General features: G+C 37.5%; 1 protein-coding gene across 3 annotated transcripts in view; it reads right to left on the bottom strand.

Moving 5' to 3' along the window:
• HCRTR2 (hypocretin receptor 2) overlaps positions 1-25108 on the bottom strand; it is a 178245-nt gene that overhangs the window by 101044 nt on the left and 52093 nt on the right. For 2 of the 3 annotated variants that reach the window (XM_017010798.2, NM_001526.5), the window contains exon 2: positions 8860-9459. In XM_017010798.2, the coding sequence (XP_016866287.1) occupies positions 8860-9082 (223 nt within the window). In that variant the 5' untranslated portion in view covers positions 9083-9459. Of the gene's footprint in view, positions 1-8859; positions 9460-25108 lie in introns of those variants that run through there. The other variant, NM_001384272.1, reaches the window with a different exon arrangement.

Here is a 25108-nt window from a genome sequence, read left to right as displayed (position 1 = left end):
AAACCCCAGTGTGAAAACCTTCACTAGTCTTTCCCCTCATGTATTTATTCTCTGCATTTTCCTCAAAATGCTCTCATGGAAAATGCAAACCAATGATGGTACTCTAATTTAAAATCCTTTAACAGCTCCCCCTAAACAACAGTGTCAAAGCCTAGATCTTAAGAATTGTACACAAGGTCTTTTATGGCCAATCCTTATTTACTGCTTCAGCCTCATTTCCAGACTCTCCTCATCTGCACTTACATTGGACTTACCCAATTGCCTAACACTTTCTTCATAGCTCATTCTATTTCACGCCTCTTTGATTTTGCTTATGTTGTTTCCTCTGCTTAGAACATCCTTACCCAATTTTCTTCACCTGGGTAACTTGAATTCATCTATTAAAACTCAGTTTAGGTGTCATCTCCTCCTGTATCTCTCTCTAATCCCCCAGCAGAGCTAAGTGTCCTTCTCAAATACTTCCACTACATTCTGTGCAACCATCTGTCATAGTAGCACTTACCACGTTATTTTAAAAGTATGTGTTTATGTGTCTATCTTTCAAAAAGAGTGCAGGTTCCTTGGATTCTATTACCTTTGTACCCTCAATCCAAGCACAATAATTGGCACATAGTCTCTTAATATTATCAATTGCCTCTATTGTCAGAGACCCAAATCGCAACGATATATCTATCAGCTTATCTTAGTGGTATGCCATTAAGCATTGAATTCCTCCAAATTATCTTGTTCTGAGTCTATGCAAGTTAAAAATACTTTTAACTATTATATAGATTCTGTGACAGAGACATCACCATCTCCCAATCCCCTTTGTAGTTAGGTTGATACGATATGATTGATTTGGACCAAATGAATATGACCATGACTGACAAGTGTTAATTTTTGGCAAAGGTGGTTAAGAGCCAGTATACTTCTTCTAGTTCACAACTTTAGAGGCTGTGCAACAACTTATCCCGAAACTGAAGTCAAACAACAAAAATTTATTATGACATAGCTTCTGAATGGTCAGGAATCTGCAAGAAGCTTAGCTGAATAGTTCTGACTCAGTGTCTGTTACTAAGTTGCACTGAAGCTGGGGGTGGGTTGGGGTAGTGGCTGTTGTAGTCACCTCAAGACTCAACCTGGTCTGAAGGATTTGCTTCCAAGCTCACACATGAGGTTGTTAACAGACCGTATTTCCTCTCTGGCTGCTGGCTGGAGATTTTAACTCCAGCCAACAGCTGCTCACCACAAGGCAGCTTACTTCCTCCAGAAGAAGAGATCCAAGAGCTAGAGAGAAAGTGGGTACTTGAGCCAGAAGCTGTAAGCTCCTGTTATGTAATCTTGAAAGTGACATCGTTTCACTGCTGCTATGAGCTGTTGGTCACCCAGACCAATTCTGGCATAATATGCAAAGGGACTACACGATGATGTGACTATCAGGAAGTGGGGCCGGGGCCCGGGGGCGGTCATTGGAAGCCATATTGGAAACTGATTACCACAGAGTCCACCTTTTAGGGATAGTGCACAAAATGTGGAGGCTGCCTGAACTGTGAGTCATTGGATGAAGGAGACTCTCCAACCCACCTCAGATGTTAAATGAGCAAGAAATAAACTTTCGTGATACTAAGCCAATGAAAATTCAGGGTTTGTTTGCTACTATGGCATAGCCTAGCTATTCAGAACAATAACAGTCCACATGGATTTCTGTCTACTGAAAAAGACTATGATAACTGAAAGAACTTTGGGTATTTAAGGACTTGTAAGAATAAACTCTTACTGTAAATTAAAACATCGAAATTATTATTTTATGTTTAACAAGTTTATGAAGTTTGTTAATGTGAGTTTTTCCTCATAGTTTTGACACAATCACATATCAAAGACAGGATAGCTGAAGACCAGTAAAAGATAATTACACACCTCATCCTGGCCTCTTGAAATACAGGAAATTTGCAAGCTTTTCCCAAGCTGACACACAACCACTTGGCTTTTCTGTATGCCCATGCTTTTCTTCCACAGTGATTTTAAATCACTTCAAGCACTTGAGTTTTTTTTCATTAAAAAAGACCTACCTCATAATGTTGTTGTGAAGAATAACTGAGAGAGAATATGGACAAATATCTTCTGAAGAGTAAAATACTATATAAATATTAAACATTGTTCTCATGTGTTTAGTATTGAAGGCAAATTACTTGTAAAGACCCAATAATAATAATCTCTAAACATTTTTTAGAAATAAAGATATAGTCATTTATTTTGAGCAATTTGTTTTTTGTTTATGAAAGAACAGTTTTTCTGGCAAGAAATTTAATGTTATTTTAAATATCGATTTAATTCATTTACTTGGTTAAGAGATCACTTCTCATTGTGAACAAAGGTGAAATGAAAACATTTTATACTCAGAGTCAGCAATTCAAAAGACTGGTCATATGGGTCATGTGTTTCATCCAATAGCATCTCAAACTCTTTCAAAGTCAGTATCTAAAGGTCATTTCATGTCTGATGTAATAGGTAATGATTCTTCATACATATAATATATTATTCTGATCCAGGAACACTGTCCGGTGATATAGAAATTGACCTGTTCACGTCAGGCACAGTGGCTCATGCCTGCAATCCCAGCATTTTGGGAGGCTGAGGTGGGTAGATAACAAGGGCAAGAGTTCAAGACCAGCCTAGCCAAGATGGTGAAACCCATCTCTACTAAAAATACAAAAAAAAAAAAAAATAGCTGGGCATGGTGGCATGTGCCTGTAATCCCAGCTACTGGGGAGGCTGAGGCAGGAAAATAGCTTGAAGCCAGGAGGTGGAGGCAGCAGTGAGACGAGATTGTGCCACTGCACCCCAGTCTGGGTGACAGAGCAAGACTCCATCTCAAAAAAAAAAAATTAAAAAAAGTTCATCTATTTAATAAAATCAATAGCAACATGATTTGTTTAAATAAATACTATTTATTTGGCAATGCATGACAAAAAGAAAAATAAACAAATATCTGTAGATTATGTGAAGTGTTAAGTGTTTAGGCTCTCAGGCTCAAATTGTGTCTAAAAATAGCACTTTCAATAACAAAATAATCCTTGGCCACAATTATCTAACATTTTTTTTCCAGTGAGTCAACCCCCTGAACAGGTAAAAGCATTTTTGGCAGCACCTATTTTACCTTGAAATTTTCTCTTGTAAAGTAACCCTAGCCCGACCTTGATTGGCTTATCAAATGAGCTCATCCTCAGAGCTGAAGAACTGTAGTCTATCAGAAAAACAGCATGGCAACATGCCCAAACAACTCTGTAAATTGTCTAGAGGGCACATCTAAGTATCTCTTCCTTCCTCTTTTTGCCTATGCATCTCCAGTCAGGGTTAGAAGCTAAGGAAAGAGGCAGGATGAAGTAATGGAATAAGCATGGACCATGGAATTTGTTAAATCCATATTTGAAACCTAGTGCTGCTATTTACTGCCTGACTAAACTTTTGAGTAAGTTAGCATTGCTCTTTGAATTCATTTTTCTTATTTGTAAAACCTATTAATCTTCTCATTATAAGTTTGTTGTAAGGCATCAATAGAGTATATGTAAGTGGAGCCTGACATATAGTACCTGGCATATAGTACCCAATAAATATTCAACAAATTTCCTTTGCAGGGAAAAAAGGAACTGAAGACAAATACCGTCAGCTTCACCAATCACATGTCATTGACTGAAACATACTTAATAAAGCCAGCATTCCTTAGGGTGGAGAAGATGTCAGAATGCTATAAGAAGAAACATGGAAGGATCTTCTTTCACTAGTTAAATAACATCAGCAGTGGATGTTTCGGAGCGGAGTGAGAATATGGAGACTTTGAGATGCTAACATAGCTGCAGTACATGAAAATTTTCAAATATAATCTAAAATACAAAATAAGGAAAATTAATATAAATCATATGATACAATTTAGTATGTAGGCACTACTACAATCAAGACAGTTTTCTAAAAACTGGAGCATTGTGTTTATGTTTGAGTTTTAGATTTGGTCTCTTGAAAACTGGTATTTTTTAATTATCCCATTTCCCAAATATATTTTTTCAAATACAGAAATAACTCATTGCATTTAAATTATCAGTTGCACATGTTATTCTCATTATTGTCTGTCCATGATAAATGTTGCTGTTATCTATGAAATAGCCATCTTAAAAGTTATCATTGGGATTTTAAGTCAAAGATATAATTTATTTTACTAAGTAAGACTAAACAGTTATGATTTTAGCAAAAATGTAGAGGCATCAGATTAATTCTTATTCAGATTAGCATGTTTGCATTTTAAAACTAAAATGCACAATAGGTTTAAAGCCTAATAGTTAATATTACCTTTTACAGTCACTATTCATGATTCTATTGAGTCTTGGCCGAGATGAGTGATGTATTATTTCTATATCTAAAAAGGGTTTAGAAATAACCCCTTTTTGCTTCCTGTGTAGGTAAGGATGGGTTTACAAACACCCATGAAACTAAAATGGGCATTCGGAGAAGCAGAAAATAAATGTCTCTAGGCTTAGGAGTAACATGAACTTGCAATTCTACCACTTACATATCTGACACAAGACTAACTCTGTAGGAAGCAAACTTATTACAAATATTTCCCCATTCCACACACCTAACTTGGGTAAACTGTTATTAGGTAAATTACTTAATGGATAATTTATTTTAACTATGAATACTTCACAATGTATTTTAACAATGTATGAGTTAAATCAACATATTACCAATGTGTGTGTTATTTAAAACACTAGTAGTGATAGACCTGCCTATCAACAACCTATTAACAACTCAAAAACTCTAAATGAATGGGACCCAGCACAGGCAAATTTAAGTTGAGAGAGAAAGCAAACTATTCCAATAGTTAGGAATGGCTTTCATTTAAAGGCAAGAAGGCAATGTTAAGCAATCAGTATGAAGGAGATGGGTGGGTGGAGCTAGTGTGGAAAAGGAGAGTAATGTGTGCCAACACCATTTTATTCACACCTTTTAGGAAAATATGCAATTAAGGAAAAGGCTGGGGCAGAGGCCATAAAGAGCTACAGAGATACAGACTGGCCCATGAAGGCAGAAGCTGGCTATACACCACATCACAAAAAGTTCAGTCATGAAAATTAAGGGATAAAAATTGACATTAATTAGTGTCTATGTGTCAAGAAAAATATGTATATGCCTGTGTCCCTTTATATGTCTTTATAGAGGGTATACGTACATTATATCCTGATACTATTTCTATAATGCAGTCATTATCGATCTTTAATTTGTAATTATAAAAAAATTGACTTGGATAGTTCAATAACTTGCTAATGGCACACAAGAAGCAAGAAGCATAGCTAGACTGATGTTTTCCTATTTTCCATATGGAGACAACAACAGATATGACAGAAGCATACCAGATGAAACATATGATATCTTTGAATGCAGATATGAGAAGCAGAAAATTGATCATTTTCCCTAGGTACTTAATGTTTAAACTGACTAGAACACATTTCTCCCTACAATTGTCATTCAAGGAATCAGGAGTAAAAATTAACATCAGTCACATTTCTTTACATTTCCCCAGAGGCTCCCCTGATATACACACTAATTTAAAAAAATGATAATGCTCACAATATACCAATTGAATAAGTTGATACATCTACTTAGCTGTAGTAGAAGACATAGTTAGGAATAGGTTATAGGTGGCATTATTCTGAAGATACTGAAAAGATACTCCTTCCAAAAAGAACCTTACCCTATGCTCCTTCCTTAGAACTTAAAATTTCACATTAAACATGCTTACAGCTTTTCATTGAATGTAAATACTCATAACATTCTATTTAAAACTTTACTCCCCCAGGAAACTGCTTTCCATCTTTGGGAGGAGTATATGAGAGTGGAGAGGTGGCATAGTGATAAAGAGGGACTATGGGGAGAAGAAAAAGAGATGAGGACAATCAAGACTTTGTTATGCTACCCACAGCATATCCTATTACATCACTTCATGAAAGGACATTGTGGAGAAGATGACTTCTAACTGATGGCATTATATTTGTAAGCCCAAAAAGGTTGAGATTTTCCAAGCAGTTATATGAAAGTACAAATGGTGACTGGACCTGAAGGCTCAGTGATTACATCTGCTGCCTACACTGTGGTATTTTACCTTCATACTTAATATTGCATCTTTATTTTGCATAAATCATGTGACATCCTGTCCTACCACTCTATGTGCAAAATTACTTATACCAGAGGGGCAAAGAAGCAATTCTCAATCTAATTCATTTTGCAAATTTGACAGTGACATCAAAGAGCAGGAAGTTGTCTGTGAGTAACGACACTACTCGTTTGTTTAAATGTCAAACCTAAACCTCATCAACTTTCAGGCAGTATGTCAGAAAAGAATGCATTTCAGTTCAACCAGAGAGGATTTCAGTGTTATTCAGTCCTGAGGAAAATAGCTGTCAGTTTCTTTAAGGCAGAGTGCTTTGAGTAAATCTTTCTTTTTAGGCTGAATGGAATTGGCCATTTCAGCACTTGGGGCTGTGGACAGTGCTATCTTCCTTGACATTATGAAACAAGTAGCCTTACTGTAGAGGTGTTTCCTTCTTGAAACTAAAACTCCCCAGGCTAGCAAACATGTATCCCTAAACTATGCAATTAGGATATGGAGACTATTCACTACAAGGTCTATGCAAGGTAAAAATGCAATAACAACAAAGAAGAGCACATTTTACCACAAAGATTCAGCCGAAAATTAAAATAAGGAAGGCAAATAGTTACTATTGATAGCTATTCATAAAAAAATTACTGCTTCTCTGGAAAGGTTTTTGGTGAAGAGAATGACAGTGCCATTAATCCCTCATTGTACTTTATTGGCAGTGGGCGTTGATGCAGAGGAGAACAGGAACACATCTAATAAACTTGCAGACAATCAGGAGCAGAGAATCTATTCTCTATATGCTTTTTAGCTCTAGAGTGGAATAACAATGGAGAATTCTGGATCTGAGGTCAGAAAAAATGGAACTGAATTTAAATTATGTCCCTTAATACGTCATTTTATTTCTCTAAGTCTTGTTTCTTCTTCTGGCTAATGTGGGTTATTTTGATATTTAAGGGAGAGAATGTACATGAAGGGCTCTGGCACACAGTAGGTACTCAATATATGTTCAATTTTGATTATTCACTTATCAATAAGTGTTGGCATAATGCAGTAAAATGTTGCTATGCTGGTAGCCATGTGTCTTAAGAGATGTAATCCTAAGGATGGGTAACAAGAAGAAGGAAAGCAAGATTAGGATTATTATCAACAGAATTATGCTTATAACAAGAATCCTAATCTTGTGTATTTCCACTTTTGTTTCATTTTGTTAGTATCCCAAAAAGATTTCCTTTATTTTTACTTTTAAATCAACCAAAGGAAAACAGTCTAAAAATAATATTTAAAAATGTACTAAAGTTCTCAGAGGTTTCTTGTCTCCTCAAATAACATTCTACCAACACTCTGGAGAACTCCTGTCATTCACATACTATCATCTATTCTGCCTGCTGAGTTGGTGAGAGACTACTCGGGATGATTTCTACCCAGACCAACACACTTGGGAGAGAAGGCAAAAATCAGGTTAGTCTGAAAGCCTGATAATTTCCTTGTCAGTCCCCATTGCAGCTACAAGTTCTTTGCTTTTGACTGCAAAGCCTCCCAGCCTATCTCACCTCACTCACCTTCTTCTTCTTTTATAAATGAAAATCAAGAGCAACTCCTAGCCTCCTCCATCTCCTGTCATTTTCAGCAGAGACTTCCTCCACACTGCCCTCTGCATGTGAAAAGTCTCCCAGCCTTCTACTCTTCATTCATCAAGGTACACTCTCCTTCCATTCACAATTTATTTCAAGTTATCCCTCCCTTCCAAAGCCCCTTTTCTGGAGGTATATTCCCCAACTGCCCTAATACATTCCATCATCGCACTCACCATGTTGCCATCTCACCCCCTCCCCAACCCTCAGAAATTGTTTAGGGGGAGGGGGATGAGGGGTCGAGGAAACCCGTGTTTGCATACAGACCTAGACCGGGACAAATAGCCTAGCATTAAGCTTAGTCTCATCTTTGGAGAAAACAAAACAAAACAAAACAACAACAAACAGTTGACATGAATAATTCCTGAGCCTGGCAACAAGCAGACTGAAAAAAAAAAATATTTGGCTGAATGGATGTAAGAATGAATGGATGGATGGATGATTGAGATCTCTGTGGTACTTTTCTCCGATGCCCCTCCTTCTTGCTCCAGGCATGGATCCTGTTTAATTCAGCTTCTATGAGTGAGTGCACTTCCCTGCTTTGCCTCCGTCTCCACTCCCTGCTGGTTCATTACCACCTCTTGACTGGAGACTAAACCTCCTCGCCAAAGGGCAATGCCACCTAGCTCACAAATGCTTTGTGACTTCCACAGCCACAGAGAGCTTGCTCCTTAGGGATGTAGCTTTGTATTCTGCAAGCTCTGTCTCGTCCCAACCCCCCTGAAACACCCAGCCACGTTACACAAAGGGATGACTGACTCCCCCACCTACCCACCCACACACACACACACTCAACAAAATCCACCTGGAGATCCCTGCCGCGGCCCCTCTCCCTGCGCTTGTAATCTAGGTGCTCGAAAAAGAAACGCGGTTTCCCCGTTATTCCTGCAAAACAGGGAATAACCTTTCCAGGGCTCGGTCCCGGTTCGGAAAATCAGAAAACTTTCTATTATTATTATTATTTTATTAGAAAACCCCATCCGAGAGCAGCGACCTCTTTGTTTGCTTCCCGGGGGAGGGAGGGGTCTCTTTAGAGCCTTCTCAGCCCGGGGCGGAGAGGGGGTGATAGCCCCTAGGAGGGCTGCCCGGGAGGAGACTCACCCAGGACGTTCCCAATGAGAGCCACGACGAACACGATGATGTACCCGGCGATCAGGACCCACTCATATTCTTTCGGGTGCAGGTATTCCCTCCACAGGTACCGCAGGAATTCCTCGTCGTCATAGTCGGTGGGGTTTAAAAAGGGCTCTTGAGTTTCATTCAGCTCCGAAGCAGATGACCAGTTGCGACAAGGGGGGGAGTCCTCCAATTTGGTGCCGGACATCACGGGCTCAAGTCCGGTTCCGCTCAATGCTGCAAGCTCCTCTCCGCCTGCCCCATGAGCACTGGTGATTTGCGGTGGGAAAGGCTGCGCGGAGAGGCTAGAAGGGGCTCCCGAGCAGAAAATGACGTGAAAAGTTACTGAGCCAATGCCTCCGGAGTCTTCTGCCGGGCAACTTCTGCGGTGGCTTTGCTGTCTTTACAGGCGATGTTGCACCGGGAAGATAGGCAGCTGAGGAACTAGGGACCCGGCACTGGAGGCTGCAGCAATGACACCAGGAGGAGAAAGCTACGTCCGGCTCAGCTGAAGCTCAATTACTCCTCATTCCAGCACTCAGTCCGCAGCCCACAGCCTCCTCCCTCGCTGAGGGAGAGCTGAAGCTGAAGAAAAAAAAAAAAGTAATGAAAACTAATTTAATCTGTTTTTTTGGGGGGTGGGGGGTGAGAGTTAAATCTCTCTCTTTTTCTACTTATTTTCTCTATTTTTACGTGCACTTATTATAAACCATGCACAGACATGCATCAGTCTGTGGATATGACAAAAATGTCAACATACAATTAATACAGAGCATGTTGATACATTTGTCTTTGTAAAGCAAATATAAAAGCAATAAGGAGGTGCCTCTGTGTTTCTCAAGCAGGACAATGGAAAAGTCATTCCAGGCAAACACTTTAACATTTAATATAAACTTATTTTAACATTTGACATTTGCCAACTTAGTACTTGCCGAGTCTTTAAGACATCTCCGTCTTCACTTTCTCCTTAAAATTTGAGAATGAGACTGTTTTTAAACTGAAGGGTCTATTTAGCTGGAATTTGTATTTGCGATAGTTAAGTGTCATGTGAAATAGAGCTACAAATTCTTGAAGGACGCCAAGTGTCATAAATATGATCATAGTTAATGTTGTCAAGCATGACAGACCACCAATATACTCAATGATATTAAACATTCACTGTAGGATGTAGCAATCTAAGCAGAAGTGCTCTCTCTGGTAAATACCACATCCCATTGGGTCTTTCTTCCCATTGATTCAGGGCTGATGTCACCTGCCATTCTCTCATGCACTGGTTTTGTCTCTAATAATAAGTATTCTAGCATTTGTCAGAATGTGAATTCATGATCCTTTTATTCTTAATAAACATGGTAAAAATATTGCATTTAAGTAATTACAATCTTGCACTTGGGAAGAGCCTGGAAATCTTGTCTGAACTTCAGCTTCAGAGTAGAAGCCTCCTGATAACATTGCTGACATGTCCCCATCTAGCTTGAATGTGACCACCACAATTCACTACTTCCATCCTTATGGGAGTGCTCTAAGGGTGAGAAAACTGTTTCTTACATTAAACCAAGGTCTCAAGCCACGATTTGTCTTTTTGAGACTTTTACCTCTAATTCCTAGTTTGCATCTTGGTGCTACACAGAATAAATCTTCCACATGACAATGCTTCACAGATTCAAAATAAACATCACAGCCCCAGCGCTCCTTTATATGCCCTCATGTTTCTTTTTTAGTATTTTTCTTTTCAATGTTGTTCAAATGACAGTAGCTCCCACCTACATCTGTTTGGTCTTCCTTTAGACAATTGTCAATATCTTGCAAAATATGTAACTGGGAGGAAGTAACAATAATATGGTTTGAGTCTTGCCAGTGCAAAAAGTACATTATTCTTTGGATGCAACCAGTTTTTATATGTAATTATTTTTTCAACACACACAAGACATTGGTGGTTTACACTGAGATTTAGTTAACTACCCCACCCCCTCCTCCAATCATAATTTTTCATATTTGTTTTGTGCTTTATGGTTTATAAAATTATTTCATATGCATTTTTAAACCCCTGAGGGCTTAGCTATTACTAACCCCCTTTAATAGATGAGGAAGCTGTTCCTGGGGAAATTAGATGATTTACGAAAGATAAATGGATTAATCAGCAGCAAAACCATCTGTTCTTTCTTCTATTTATAGAATACTTTTTGGGACATAGTACTTCTGTTATTGTATAGATATCACATTTTATGAGAAATATTGTTGTATTTCCCCAATCTGCACTAATTAAATTTCTTTTTAAGAGAAGGGCATCAATGGGCATTTTATTATTTTACCAAATATTTCCTGAGGGTTATTTTTCCACTCTTAGTGATACAAAGTTAAACAGGTTGCTGTTTCCATGCATTTTACTTTCTAGTAAAGTTAGATTAAAAAAAAACAAACTAACAAATACATAGGGAAAACGTTAGGAAGGGATAGATGCTATAATGCAAACCAAACAGGATGAGGTGATGATGAGTAGAAAATCCCAAAGGTCACATTAGAAATGATTGTTCAAAAAGGCTCTATTAAGAGATGATATATAAGCAAAAGACCCAATTGATATGTGCATATATTAATTTCATTCTGTTAATTTGAAGTTTAAACAGACCTTAAATTCTAATGCTATTATCCAAAACATTAGCCATTTCTCCAGACCTGTTGTCACCAGTAAATTTGACAAGTAGGCCTTCTGTGGCTTTGTTCAAGTTCATCGGCATAAATCTGTCAACTTTATACTCTGGCACGATGTCTTCCTCTGATTTATTAACATCTGCATTTTACTCTTCCATGCACTATTCATCTCAAAGTGGGAAAGGTTGTTGCAACTTAAGTTCGGATCTATATTCATTAACATCTGCAAATTCCTTGTCATTGACAATCTATAAATATGGACCCAGTCTGCTATTTCCTAAGTAGTCAGTGTCATTAGCTTTCATTTTGTGGCACTTCAACTTGTCTATACTTCAGTCTTCTCTTCGTAAATCTTCCACCTACAATTAATCATCACAGTAAATTGAAGTTATAAATAACGAGAAATGAAAATATTTTCAAGATTTTATCCTGATACCTGCTTTATTTTATGACAAGCTGTATTTATCTTGATCCTACAAATATTCCATTTCCTTCTATCTATGATTTCTCTGGTGCTTTCTTCTAAATATGTGGTACTCCAATGTCATAAAATATTCACTTAAATCTTCAGATTATTACTTGTTTTCTTTTTTGCAAGTGCACCATAGATAATAAATATTATAATACTCATTTTTGATGTGAATATCTTCCTTAGATCTTTTGATATCTTTTGAAACATAAGAAAGGAATTTCTAGTTCTTAGGTATTACTCTTCTCTTCAATTCAAATATTTCTGCTGGATGTAGGGAAAAGGAATCAATCCATTTTACAAACACAAAAGAAAGCTCTAAATTTGTACCATGATATCCCCTTAAGGTTGTTAAAAGAATTAAATGAATTGATATTTTCAGACCAGTGCCTCACTCCAGTTAGAATGGCGATCATTAAAAAGTCAGGAAACAACAGGTGCTGGAGAGGATGTGGAGAAATAGGAACACTTTTGCACTGTTGGTGGGAGTGTAAACTAGTTCAATCATTGTGGAAGAGAGTGTGGCAATTCCTCAAGGATCTAGAACTAGAAATACCATTTGACCCAGCCATCCCATTACTGGGTATATACACAAAGGATTATAAATCATGCTGCTATAAAGACACATGCACACATATGTTTATTGCGGCACTATTCACAATAGCAAAGACTTGGAACCAACCCAAATGTCCAACAATGATAGACTGGATTAAGAAAATATGGCACATATACACCATGGAATACTATGCAGCCAAAAAAAGGATGAGTTCATGTCCTTTGCAGAGACATGGATGAAGCTGGAAACCATGATTCTCAGCAAACTATCGCAAGGACAAAAAACCAAACACCGTATGTTCTCACTCATAGGTGGGAATTAAACAATGAGAACACCTGGACACAGGAAGGGGAACATCACACACTGGAACCTGTCGTGGGGTGGGGGAGGGGGGAGGGATAGCATTAGGAGATATACCTAATGTAAATGAGGAGTTAATGGGTGCAGCACACCAACATGGCGCATGCATACATATGTAACAAACCTGCACGTTGTGCACATGTACCCTAGAACTTAAAGTATAATAAAAATAAATAAATAAATAAATAAGTAAACATGTGATATCCTACTGCAAATATTATTTGCTATACATATCAATTACTCTGTGTTAATGATAGTTAACATCAATGTACATTTCAAAATAGCTAAAAGAGAGGACTTAACATGCTCCTAGCACAGAGAAATAATAAATACTTAAGGTAATGGATACTCTAAATATTCTGGCTTGACCATTACACATTCTATGCGTGTAACAAAATATTACATGTACCCTATAAATATATACAAATACTATGTATATATAAATACTATGTATAAATAAATATATTATACATTTACATGTATAAATAAATACAATATATTTATATATACAAAATAAATATATTGTATAAGTATATACAAATACTATGTATAAATAAAAGGTAAAAAAGAAATGTAGCTCACAACATTCAGAATAATTCTGTTTAAATACCTAGATTAAATTTTTCTTGTCATTTATTTTAGCTCTTTCACTAACTGGAATATATTAAAAATGAGACGGAAAAATAAATCTCAAACTCAGGTATTTTTTTTTCTTGGTGGTTATAGGTAGGTTGTTTAGAGATCTCATATATGGGCTGTCCCAGATTATATTTTCTTATTCCTGGTGAGAGATCATCTTTTTTGCAGGTGTAACTTTCTATATGCATTTCAGTAAATGTATCTGAGTATCTATTGTGTGTCCAGGAGTTCGGCTAGGAGCTGGGGTATAAGGATTAATAAGACTAGTCTAGCCTCAATGATCTCTCAGTCCATTGGTGAACTGGAAATGTTGCCATTATTGAGAAACTCTGTGAAGGTAGAGAGATGCAGAGTGGCATGGAAGCATGAAAGAAGTTGCTTTCTTTCCTTTGCTGTTGGAATGAAAATAAAATCAAGTCTGAGCACTGTTGGTAATGATGATACTGAGCTTATATATTCCCAAAATAAATGCATTAGCTTTGCAGGAAGTTATCTGGCACCTCTAGGCTCCAAATACTACATTTAAAAAACAATATGGTCTTCAGCTAAATTCTTCTAGAAAAGTCTCAAATCACAGGGGGTCTAGACATTTATAAAAAGGGAAAAGGGGACTTACATAACATGTGTCACTGTACGCACTCTCGGTGGGCTACAGAGAATGAAATAACCTCATGCCCTAAAAGATTAGGCCATGAACAATCAAAGCTACTTGTCACAAATTACCACAAACATTTCTGTCTCTCTGTCTCTTTTTCCTCCAATCTTTCTATTACCTCCCATGCCCTGTTTTAATTATGTCTCTTCTCAGACAAGGTTCTCTCCGTTCCATCTTGCCTCCTGTCCTGCATTATTAGATCTGATATTTTCCCCTTATGTTTTTTATTCAACAAATATATACGAAGCTTCCATTATATGCCTATCTTATGTTGAGCATAGATAAACACTCTTCCTGTCTTATTCAGTGTGTCATGAAAAGCACAGAGTAGCCGGCAAATAATTTTGGTCAGTAAAGCAAATGCCCTAAGGTATACACCTAAAAAGGTCTGAAAATGCAAGCAGAAGAGACATCTATTTTCCCAAAGTGGCGTCAATGAAACCATATGGAAAAGACATTGTTTAAGCTGAGAACTGAAGAATGAATGGTAACCAGATTGTGGGAAGTGAGAGAGGGAGTTGGTGCCAGACGGAAGTAAGTAACTTTTTGTGAGACAAGTAATGTTAGCACTCATTGAGAGATTACATGGGCCAAGCTCTGTGCCAAGTACGTTACATACATTAACTCAATTGATCTTCACAAATCTAGGAGGAAGATTTTATGAATTATTATTCCAATTTTCCAGGTTGGGCAACTTAGTGAGACACTATTTCTATGAAAAACTTAAAAAAAAAATTACCCAGGCATGGTGGCATGTGTCTGTGGTCCTAGCTATCTGGGAGGCTCAAGTTGGAGAATCACTTGAACTCAGGAGGTTGAGGCTGCAGTGAGCTGTGGTCACGCCACTGCACTCCAGCCTGGGCAACAGAATGAGACACTGTCTCAAAAAAAGCATCTATTATTCCAATTTTACAAATGAAGAAACTGACACACAAAGAAGTTAAGTAACTTACCCAAGGTCATATAGCTAGAAAGTGGTGGAGTGTTTAAGCAGAGTTGTCAGGGTCCAATTCCAGAAATACGCTTTTTGCTGTTACTCTATTCTGTTTCCACAGTAGAGAACCAAAATGTTTTCAATTTTCCAGCTGTGTCCTTTACTAATGATAGTTTTAATTCTTAACAAAGACATTTGTAAAATTATATAAATTTTACATATTTAAAAAAATCCAGTTGTATTTTAAACAGTACTGAAAAGTAGAATTATAGGGGAACTTGTTATACTCTTCAGGATGACATCTCCCCCAAAGAGAATCAATCTCCTTCTCTATTCTCTGAGATAAAGATATTTGTTTTTCTCCTAAGGGCATAAATGTTTTCTCATTCATCTTTGTATCCCCAGACTTAGCATGCACTTTGCATTTAGCTGTTGGCCAATCACTACTTGTTGATCAGGCCTGAACTCAATTGAAGGGAGTAATTCCTTCTTCAAACAGTGAATATTTTGTGAAAAATATACATATGTGCCGCCTTTGTTTATGTAACACCAAGGAAATTCCTGGATATGTATATTCTTGCCTATTACTAAATCTTTAGACTGGAGATGGATTAGCAGTCTCTATGTAGGGTGTGCTATTTTATTAATTCACTTCCTCTTTCCATATTCTAAAAATTCTCTTTTCTTTTCAAAATAATAAATGGTTAAAATGCAAAAATAATAATAGAGGGCAGAAAAAGAGTGGGTTCAAGTCTTGCAGTACAAACTATAACTTTGGGGGTACTTGCCCATTCCAGACACCCTGCTAGAAACTATCCATTATCGTCGGGTGCTCTGAAGGGTGGGATCTGGGGAAGGAAAGAGTAGGAGCAAAATATGTGTATTTTCAAACATCAGTCCCAGGGGCACATGAGAGTTTTCTACAATCTTGGGTTTGAGTTCATTGAAATACTTCTGTGTGCTTTCAATACATGTTATTTCTTCTGGATCTCAGTTCTCTGGGCTTCTTTTCCTTGAAAATAACATATTTGTCTGAGTTAGAGGAAATTTACTTTTAGGTGAGCAGCAGGTGGGGCATGTAACCATTAAGGCATGTGTTCTGATTTTCCACATGAAAAAAAAAATGATCCATTGTGTTGTGAAATTCATCTTAATTCCATTTTAATAAATATACATACAATGAACTCCATATAGTTATGGTGAAAGAGGTTTATGTATTGGACTCCAATGTTAAAAGCAATGTGACATGCTTTTACTCCAATACAAATGCAATCGCTAAACTGCATTGAGTAGCACTGTGGAAGCGATCCCACCTTGTGTGGAAATTTCTCTTTGTTATTGATAAGATTTTTTTCTTTTCTAATTGAGGTAAAATTCACATAACACAACAGTAATGTTTTAACCATTTTGAGAGGTATCATTTAGTGGTTTATAGTATATTCACAATGTTGTGTCACCATCAGCACTACTAATTCCAGAAACCTCATAACTACTGATTTTCCTCTCCTCCCACATGCTGGCAAACACTCAAGTTTCTTCTTCAGTGGATCTGACAATTCTGGAAATTTCCTTTAAATGTTGGGTTTTGTGTCTTATGTCTTTCACTTAGCTTAATATTTTCAAGGTTCTTCCATGTTTTAGTGTCTATCCGTACTTTATTATTTTTGTGGCTGAATAGTATTTAATTATATGGATATGCCACATTTTATCTATTCAGCAGTTGATGAATATTTGGATTGTTTCCATTTTTTGCCAATTATATATAATACTGATCTGACTGTTCTTGTACAAGTTTTTGTGTGTACTTATGTTTTCAATGCTCTTGGGTGCATGCCTGGGAGTTGAATTATTTCATACAGTAACTCTATGTTGAACTGTTTGAGGAACTGACAAATTGTTTTCCACAATGGCAAGATTCTTTCACATTACCACTGGCAATGCATGAAGGTTTCAAGGTTTCCACATTCTTATCAACACGAGTTATTTTCCACTTTGTAAATTATAATGGGTGGAAAGTGATATTTCATTTTGTGTGTGCGTTGTGTGTGTTTTAAGTCTCTTAACAAAGAAAAGCCCAGAACTGGATGGCTTTACTGCTGAATTCTACCAAACTTATAAAAAAAAAAAACTAACAATTCTCAAACTATTCCAAAACACTAAAGAAGAAGTCTTTTGGACTTCCTGACACGCTCAACAAGAACAGCATTACCCTGATACCAAAATCAGACTAGAATACAACATAAAAACAGAAAACTACAGGCCAATATCCTTAATGATTATAGATGCAGAAATCCTCAACAAAATATCAGCAAAGTGAATCCAAAAAACATCAAAAAGATAATACACCATGATCAAGTGGGATTTATCCCAGGGGTGGAAGGATGATTCAATAAATGCAAATCAATAAATGTGGTACATCATATCAGCAAAATAAAGGACGAAAACCATATGATCATCTCAAAAGACACAGAAAAGGCATTTGACAAAATGCAACATCTCTTCATGATAAAAACTCTCAACAAATTAGGCATAGAGGGAATCTAACTTAATAAAGTCTGTATATGACAAATCCATGTCTAATATCATTGTAATATTAATCTGTATTTGCCTCCTGAGTAAAGATGATGAGCATCTTTTGATGAACTTGTTGGTCATTTGTGTATGTACTTTGGAGAACTAATAGCTATTTATTGCCTATTTTTTTAGATTGGGTTATTCGTCTCTTTATAGTTGAGGTGTAAGAGTATATATATATATATATATATATATATATATATATATATATATATTCTGTATACTAATCCCTTAACAAATACATGATTTCCAAACATGTTCTCCTATTTTGTAGGTTTTCTTTTCATACTCTTGATAGTATTCTACGATGCAAAAAAGTTTTAAATTTTGATAAGATCCAATTTATTCATGTTTTCTTTTGTTGCTTTTACCATATTTTATCATATTTAAGAAATCATTGCCTAATCAAAGGTCACAAAAATTTACTGTGTTTCTTTCTAAGAGTTTCATAGTTTTAGCTCTTATACTTAGGTCTTTAATCTATTTTGGGGTTTTATGTATATGACACAAGAAAGGTATCCAAATTCATTTTTTGCATACCCAATTATCCCAACACCTTTATTGAAAGGACTTTACTTTTCCCATTGAATGAGAGTTCAGTTATTAAATGTCTTGAGGTAGTCTTCTTTGGGTTAAATCTGAATGGTGTTCCATAACCTTGTATTTGAATACTGATACTCTATTGTTATCCCTTTGAATAAACTTTCTACCCCTATCCCACTCTCTCTCTCTCTCTCCTTCCTTTTTAAGGCCAGTAACTCTTAGATTTATGCTTTTGAGGCTATTTTCTAGATCCTGTAGGTATGCTTCATTGTTTTTAATTTTCTTCTTTTGTCTCCTCTGACTGTATATTTTCAAATAGAGTGTTTTCAAATTTACTAATTCTTTCTTCTGCAGGATCAATTCTGCTGGTAAGATGCATTCTTTTGTATATCAATTGAATTTTTCAGCTCCAAAATTTCTGCATGAATTTTTAAAAAAATTATTTCATCTTCTTTTTTGAATTTATCTGATAGAAGTCTGAATTCCTTTGCCATGTCATCTTGAATTTTGTTGAATTTCCTCACAACAGCTATTTTGAATTCTCCATCTGAGAGGTCACATATTTCTGTCACTCCAGGATTGGTCTCCAGTGACTTATATAGTTCTTTGGTAAGGTCATGTTTTCATAAATGGTCTTTTTTTTTTAATACTTTAAGTTCTGGGATACATGTGCAGAACGTGCAGGTTTGTTACATAGGTATACATGTGCCACGGTGGTTTGCTGCACCCATCAACCTGTCACCTACATTATGTATTTCTCCTAATGTTATCCCTCCCCTAGCCCCCCACTGCCTGACAGGCCCTGGTGTGTGATGTTCCCCTCCCTGTGTCCATGTGTTCTCATTGTTCAACTCCCACTTATGAGTGAGAATATGTGGTGTTTGGTTTTCTGATCTTGTGATAGTTTGCTGAGAATGATGGTTTCCAGCTTCATTCATGTCACTGCAAAGGACATGAACTCATCCTTTTTTATGGCTGCATAGTATTTCATGGTGTATATGTGCCACATTTTCTTAATCTAGTCTATCATTGATGGACATCTGGGTTGGTTCCAAGTCTTTGCTATTGTTAATAGTGCCACAATAAACATACATGTGCATGTGTGTTTATCATAGAATGATTTATAATCCTTTGGGTATATGCCCAGTAATGGGATTGCTAGGTCAAATGGTATTTCTGGTTCTAGATCCTTGAGGAATCACCACACTGTCTTCCACAATGGTTGAACTAATTTACACTCCCACCAACAGTGTAAAAGCGTTCCTATTTCTCCACATCCTCTCCAGCATCTGTTGTTTCCTGACTTTTTAATGATCGCCATTCTAACTGGAGTGAGATGGTATCTCACTGTGGTTTTTATTTGCATTTCTCCAATGACCAGTGATGATAAGCTTTTTTTTGTATGTTTCTTGGCCACATAAATGTCTTCTTTTGAGAGGTGTCTGTTCACATCCTTCACCCACTTTTTGATGGGGTTGTTTTTTTCTTGTAAATTTGTTGGAGTTCATTGTAGATTCTGGATATTAGCCCTTTATCAGATGGACAGATTGCAAAAATTTTCTCCCATTTTATAGGTTGCCTGTTCACTCTGATGATAGTTTCTTTTGCTGTGCAGAAGCTCTTTAGTTTAATTAGATCCCATTTGTCAATTTGGGATTTTCTTGCCATTGCTTTTGATGTTTTAGACATGAAGTGTTTGCCCATGCCTATGGCCTGAATGGTATTTCCTAGGTTTTCTTCTAGGGTTCTTATGGTTTTTAGGTCTTACGTTTAAGTCTTTAATCCATCTTGAGTTAATTTTTGTATAAGGTGTAAGGGAGGAGTCCCGTTTCAGTTTTCTGCATATGGCTAGCCAGTTTTCGCAACAACATTTATTAAATAGGAAATCCTTTCCCCATTGCTTGTTTTTGTCAGGTTTGTCAAAAATCAGAGAGTTGTAGATGTCTGGGGTTATTTCTGAGGCCTCTGTTCTGTTCCATTGGTCTATATATCTGTTTTCATACCAATACCATGCTGTTTTGGTTACTGTAGCCTTGTAGCATAATTTGAAGTTAGGTAGCATGATGCCTCCAGCTATGTTCTTTTTGCTTAGGATTGTTTTGGCTATATGGGCTCTTTTTTAGTTCCATAAGAAATTTAAGGTAGTTTTTTTTTTTTTGTTGTTTGTTTGTTTGTTTTTTGAGACGGAGTCTTGCTCTGTCACTCAGGCTGGAGTGCAGTGACAGGATCTTGGCTCATTGCAAGCTCCGTCTCCTGGGTTCACGCCATTCTCCTGCCTCAGCCTCTCCAAGTAGCTGGGACTACAGGCGCCTGCCACCACGCCCGGCTAATTTTTTGTATTTTTAGTAGAGACGGGGTTTCACCATGGTCTCAATCTCCTGACCTCTTGATCCTCCTGCCTTGGCCTCCCAAAGTGCTTGGATTACAAGCGTGAGCCACTGAGCCTGGCCAGTTTTTTACTAATTCTGTGAAGAAATTCGGTGGTAGCTTGATGAACATAGCATTGAGTCTATAAATTATTTTGGGCAGTATGGCCATTGTCATGATATTGATTCTTCCTATCCATGAGGATGGAATGTTTTTGCATTTGTTTGTATCCTCTTTTATTTCCTTAGCAGTGGTTTGTAGTTCTCCTTGAAGAGGTCCTTCACATCCCTTGTAAGTTGTATTCCTAGGTATTTTGAATGGGAGTTCACTCATGATTTGGCTCTCTGTTTGTCTATTATTAGTGTATAGAAATGCTTGTGATTTTTGCACATTGATTTTGTATCCTGAGACTTTGCTGAAGTTGCTTATCAGCTTAAGGAGATTTTGGGCTGAGACAATGGGGTTTTCTAAATATACAATGATGTCATCCACAAACAGAGACAATTTGACTTCTTCTCTTCCTATTTGAATACCTTCTATTTCTTTCTCTTGCCTGATTGCCCTGGCCAGAACTTCCAACACTATGTTGAATAGGAGTGGTGAGAGAGGGCATCCTTGTCTTGTGCCAGTTTTTAAAGGGAATGCTTCCAGCTTTTGCCCATTCAGTATGATATTGGGTATGGGTTTGTCATAAATAGCTCTTATTGTTTTAAAATACATTGCATCGATACCTAGCTTATTGAGAGTTTTTAGCATGAAGGGCTGTTAAATTTTGTTGAAGGCCTTTTCTGCATCTATTGAGATAATCATGTGGTTTTTGTCATTGGTTCTGTTTTTGTGATGAATTACATTTATTGATTTTCGTATGTTGAACAAGCCTTGCATGCCAGGTATGAAGCCAACTTGATCGTGGTGGATAAGCTTTTTGATGTGCTGCTGGATTTGGTTTGCCAGTATTTTATTGAGGATTTTTGCGTCGGTGTTAATCAGGGATATATTAGCCTGAAATTTTCTTTTTTGTGTGTATGTCTCTGCCAGGTTTTGGTATCAGGATGATGCCAGCCTCATAAAATGAGTTAGGGAGGAGTCTTTCTTTTTCTGTTGTTTGGAATAGTTTCAGAAGGAATGGTACCAGCTCTGATTTGTACCTCTTGTAGAATTTGGCTGTGAATCCATCTGGTCCTGGGCTTTTTTTCATTGGAACGCTATTAATTACTGCCTCAATTTCAGGACTTGTTATTGGTCTGTTCAGGGATTTGACTTCTTCCTGGTTTAGTCTTGGGAAGGTGTATGTGTCCAGGAATTTATCCATTTCTTCTAGGTTTTCTAGTTTATTTGCATAGAGGTGTCTATAGTATTCTCTGATGGTAGTTTGTATTTCTGTGGGATCAGTGATGATCTCCCCTTTATCATTTTTTATTGTGTCTATACAATTCTTCTCTCTTTTCTTCTTCATTAGTCTGGCTAGTGATCTATCTATTTTGTTAATCTTTTCAAAAAAAACAGCTCTTGGATTCATTGATTTATGAAGGGTTTTTCGTGTCTCTCTCTCCTTAGTTCTGCTCTCATCTTAGTTATTTCTTGTCTTCTGCTAGCTTTTGAATTTGTTTGCCTTTGCTTCTCTAGTTCTTTTCATTGTGATGTTAGGGTGTTGATTTTAGATCTTTCCCACTTTCTCGTGTGGGCATTTAGTGCTATGAATTTCCCTCCAAACACTACTTTAGCTGTGTCCCAGAGATTCTGGTATGTTGTGTCTTTGTTCTCATTGGTTTCAAGTAACTTATTTATTTCTGCCTTAATTTCATTATTTACCCAGTAGTCATTCAGCAGCAGGTTGTTCAGTTTCCATGTAGTTGTGCGGTTTTGAGTGAGTTTCTTATTCCAGAGCTCTTATTTGATTGCACTGTGGTCTGAGAGACTGTTTGTTATGATTTTAGTTCTTTGGCATTTGCTGAGGAGTCTTTTACTTCCAATGATGTGGTCAATTTTAGAATAAGTGCAATGTGGTGCTGAGAATAATGTATATTCTATTTATTTGGGGTGGAGAGTCCTATAGATGTCTATTAGGCCTGCTTGGTCCAGAGCTGAGTTCAAGTCCTGAATGTACTTGTTAATTTTCTGTCTCATTGATCTGTTTAATATTGACAGTGGGGTGTTAAAGTCTCCCACTATTATTACGTGGGAGTCTAAGTCTCTATAGGTCTCTAAGAACTTGCTTGATGAATTTGTGTGCTCCTGAATTGGGTGCATATATATTTAGGATAGCTAGCTGTTCTTGTTGCATTGATCCCTTTATCATTATGTAATGCCCTTTGTTGTCTCTTTTGATCTTTGTTGGTTTGAAGTCTATTTTATCAGAGACTAGGATTGCAACCTCCGCTTTATTTTGCTTTCCATTTGCTTAGTAAATATTCCTCCATCCCTTTATTTCGAGCCTATATGTATCTTTGCACATGAATTGGACTCCTGAATACAGCACACTGTTGGGTCTTGACTCTCTATCCAATTTGCCAGTCTGTGTCTCTTAATTGGGGCAGTTAGCCTATTACATTTAAGGTTAATATCGTTATGTGTGAATTTGATCCTGTCATTATAATGCTAGCTGGTTATTTTGCCCATTAGTTGATGCAGTTTCTTCATAGTGTTGATGGTCTTTACAATTTCATATGTTTTTGCAGTGGCTGATACTGGTTTTTCCTTTTCATATTTAGTGCTTCCTTCGGGAGCTCTTGTAAGGCAGGCCTGGTGGTGACAAAATTTCTCAGCATTTGCTTGTCTGTAAAGGATTTTATTTCTCCTTCACTATGAAGCATAGTTTGGCTGGATATGAAATTGTGGGTTGAAAATTCTTTTCTTAAAGCATGTTGAATATTGGCCTTCACTCTCTTCTGGCTTGTAGGGTTTCTGCAGGGAGATCCACTGTTAGTCTGATGGGCTTCCCTTTGTGGGTAACCCGACCTTTCTCTCTGGCTGCCCTTAACTTTTTTCCTGTATTTCAACCTTGGTGCATCTGACAATTATGTGTCTTGGGGTTGTTTTTCTCGAGGAGTATCTTTGTGATGTACTCTGTATTTCCTGAATTTAAATGTTGGCCTGTCTTGCTAGGTTGTGGATGTTCTCCTGGATAATATCCTGAAGAATGTTTTCCAACTTGATTCCTTTCTCCCCGTCACTTTCAGGTACACTAATCAAATGTAGGTTTAGTCTTTTCACATATTCCCATATTTCTTGGAGACTTTGTTCATTCCTTTTTATTCTTTTTTCTCTAATCTGGTCTTCACACTTTATTTCATTAAGTTGATCTTCAATCTCTGATATTCTTTTCTTTGCTTGATCGATTTGGATATTGATACCTGTGTATGCTGCACGAAGTTCTTGTGCTATAGTTTTCAGCTCCATCAGGTCATTTATGCTCTTCTCTAAACTGGTTATTCTAGTTAGCAATTACTCTAACCATTTTTCAAGGTTCTTAGCTTCCTTGCATTGGGTTAGAACATGCTCCTTTAGCTCAGAGGAGTTTATTACCCACCTTTTCAAGCCTACTTCTGTCAATTCATCAAACTCATTCTCTGTCCAGTTTTGTCCCCTTGCTGGTGAGGAATTGTGATCCTTTGGAGGAGAAGAGGTATTCTGTTTTTTGGAATTTTCAGCTTTTTTGTGCTGGTTTTTCCCCATCTTTGTGGATTTATCTACCTTTGGTATTTGGTGTTGGTGACCTTCAGATGGGGTTTTTGTGCGGATGTGCTGTTTTTGTTTTTGTTTTTGTTTTTGTTTTTGTTTTTTTGATGTTGATGCTATTCCTTTCTGTTTGTTAATTTTCCTTCTTACACTCAGGCCCGTCTGCTGAAGGTCTGCTGGAGTTTGCTGGAGGTCAACGTCAGACCCTATTTGCCTGGGTATCACCAGTAGAGGCTACAGTACTGCAAAGATTGCTGCCTGCTCCTTCCTCTCGAAGCTTTGTCCCAGAGGGGCACCCACCAGATACCAGCCGGAGCTCTCCTGTATGAGGTGTCTGTCGACCCTTGCTGTGCGGTGTCTCCCAGTCTGGAGACACAGGGGTCAGAGACCCACTTGAGGAGGCAGTCTGCCCCTTAGCAGAGCTCGAGCGCTGTGCTGGGAGATCCCCTGCTGTCTTCAGAGTCAGCTTGCGGCAATATTTAAGTCTGCTGAAGCTGCACCCACAGCTGCCCCTTTCCCCAGGTGCCCTGTCCCAGGGAGATGGGAGTTTGATCTATAAGCTCCTGACCGCAGCTGCTGCCTTTCTTTCAGAGAAGCCCTGCCCAGACAGGAGGAATCTAGAGAGGCATTCTGGCTATAGTGGCTTTGCCGAACTGTCGTGGGCTCCACCTACTTTAACTTCCCAGTGGCTTTGTTTACACTGTGAGGGGAAAACTGCTTACTCAAACCTCAGTAATGGTGGACGTCCCTCTCTCCACCAAGCTCAAGCATCCCAGGTTGACTTCAGACTGCTGCACTGGCAGTGAGAAT

Source organism: Homo sapiens, chromosome 6 (genome assembly GCF_000001405.40).
Source record: "Homo sapiens chromosome 6, GRCh38.p14 Primary Assembly".
In the NCBI taxonomy this organism is placed as follows: Eukaryota; Metazoa; Chordata; class Mammalia; order Primates; family Hominidae; genus Homo; species Homo sapiens.
The sequence above is the reverse complement of the archived record's forward strand: the minus strand, read 5'-3'. Positions and strand labels throughout refer to the sequence as shown.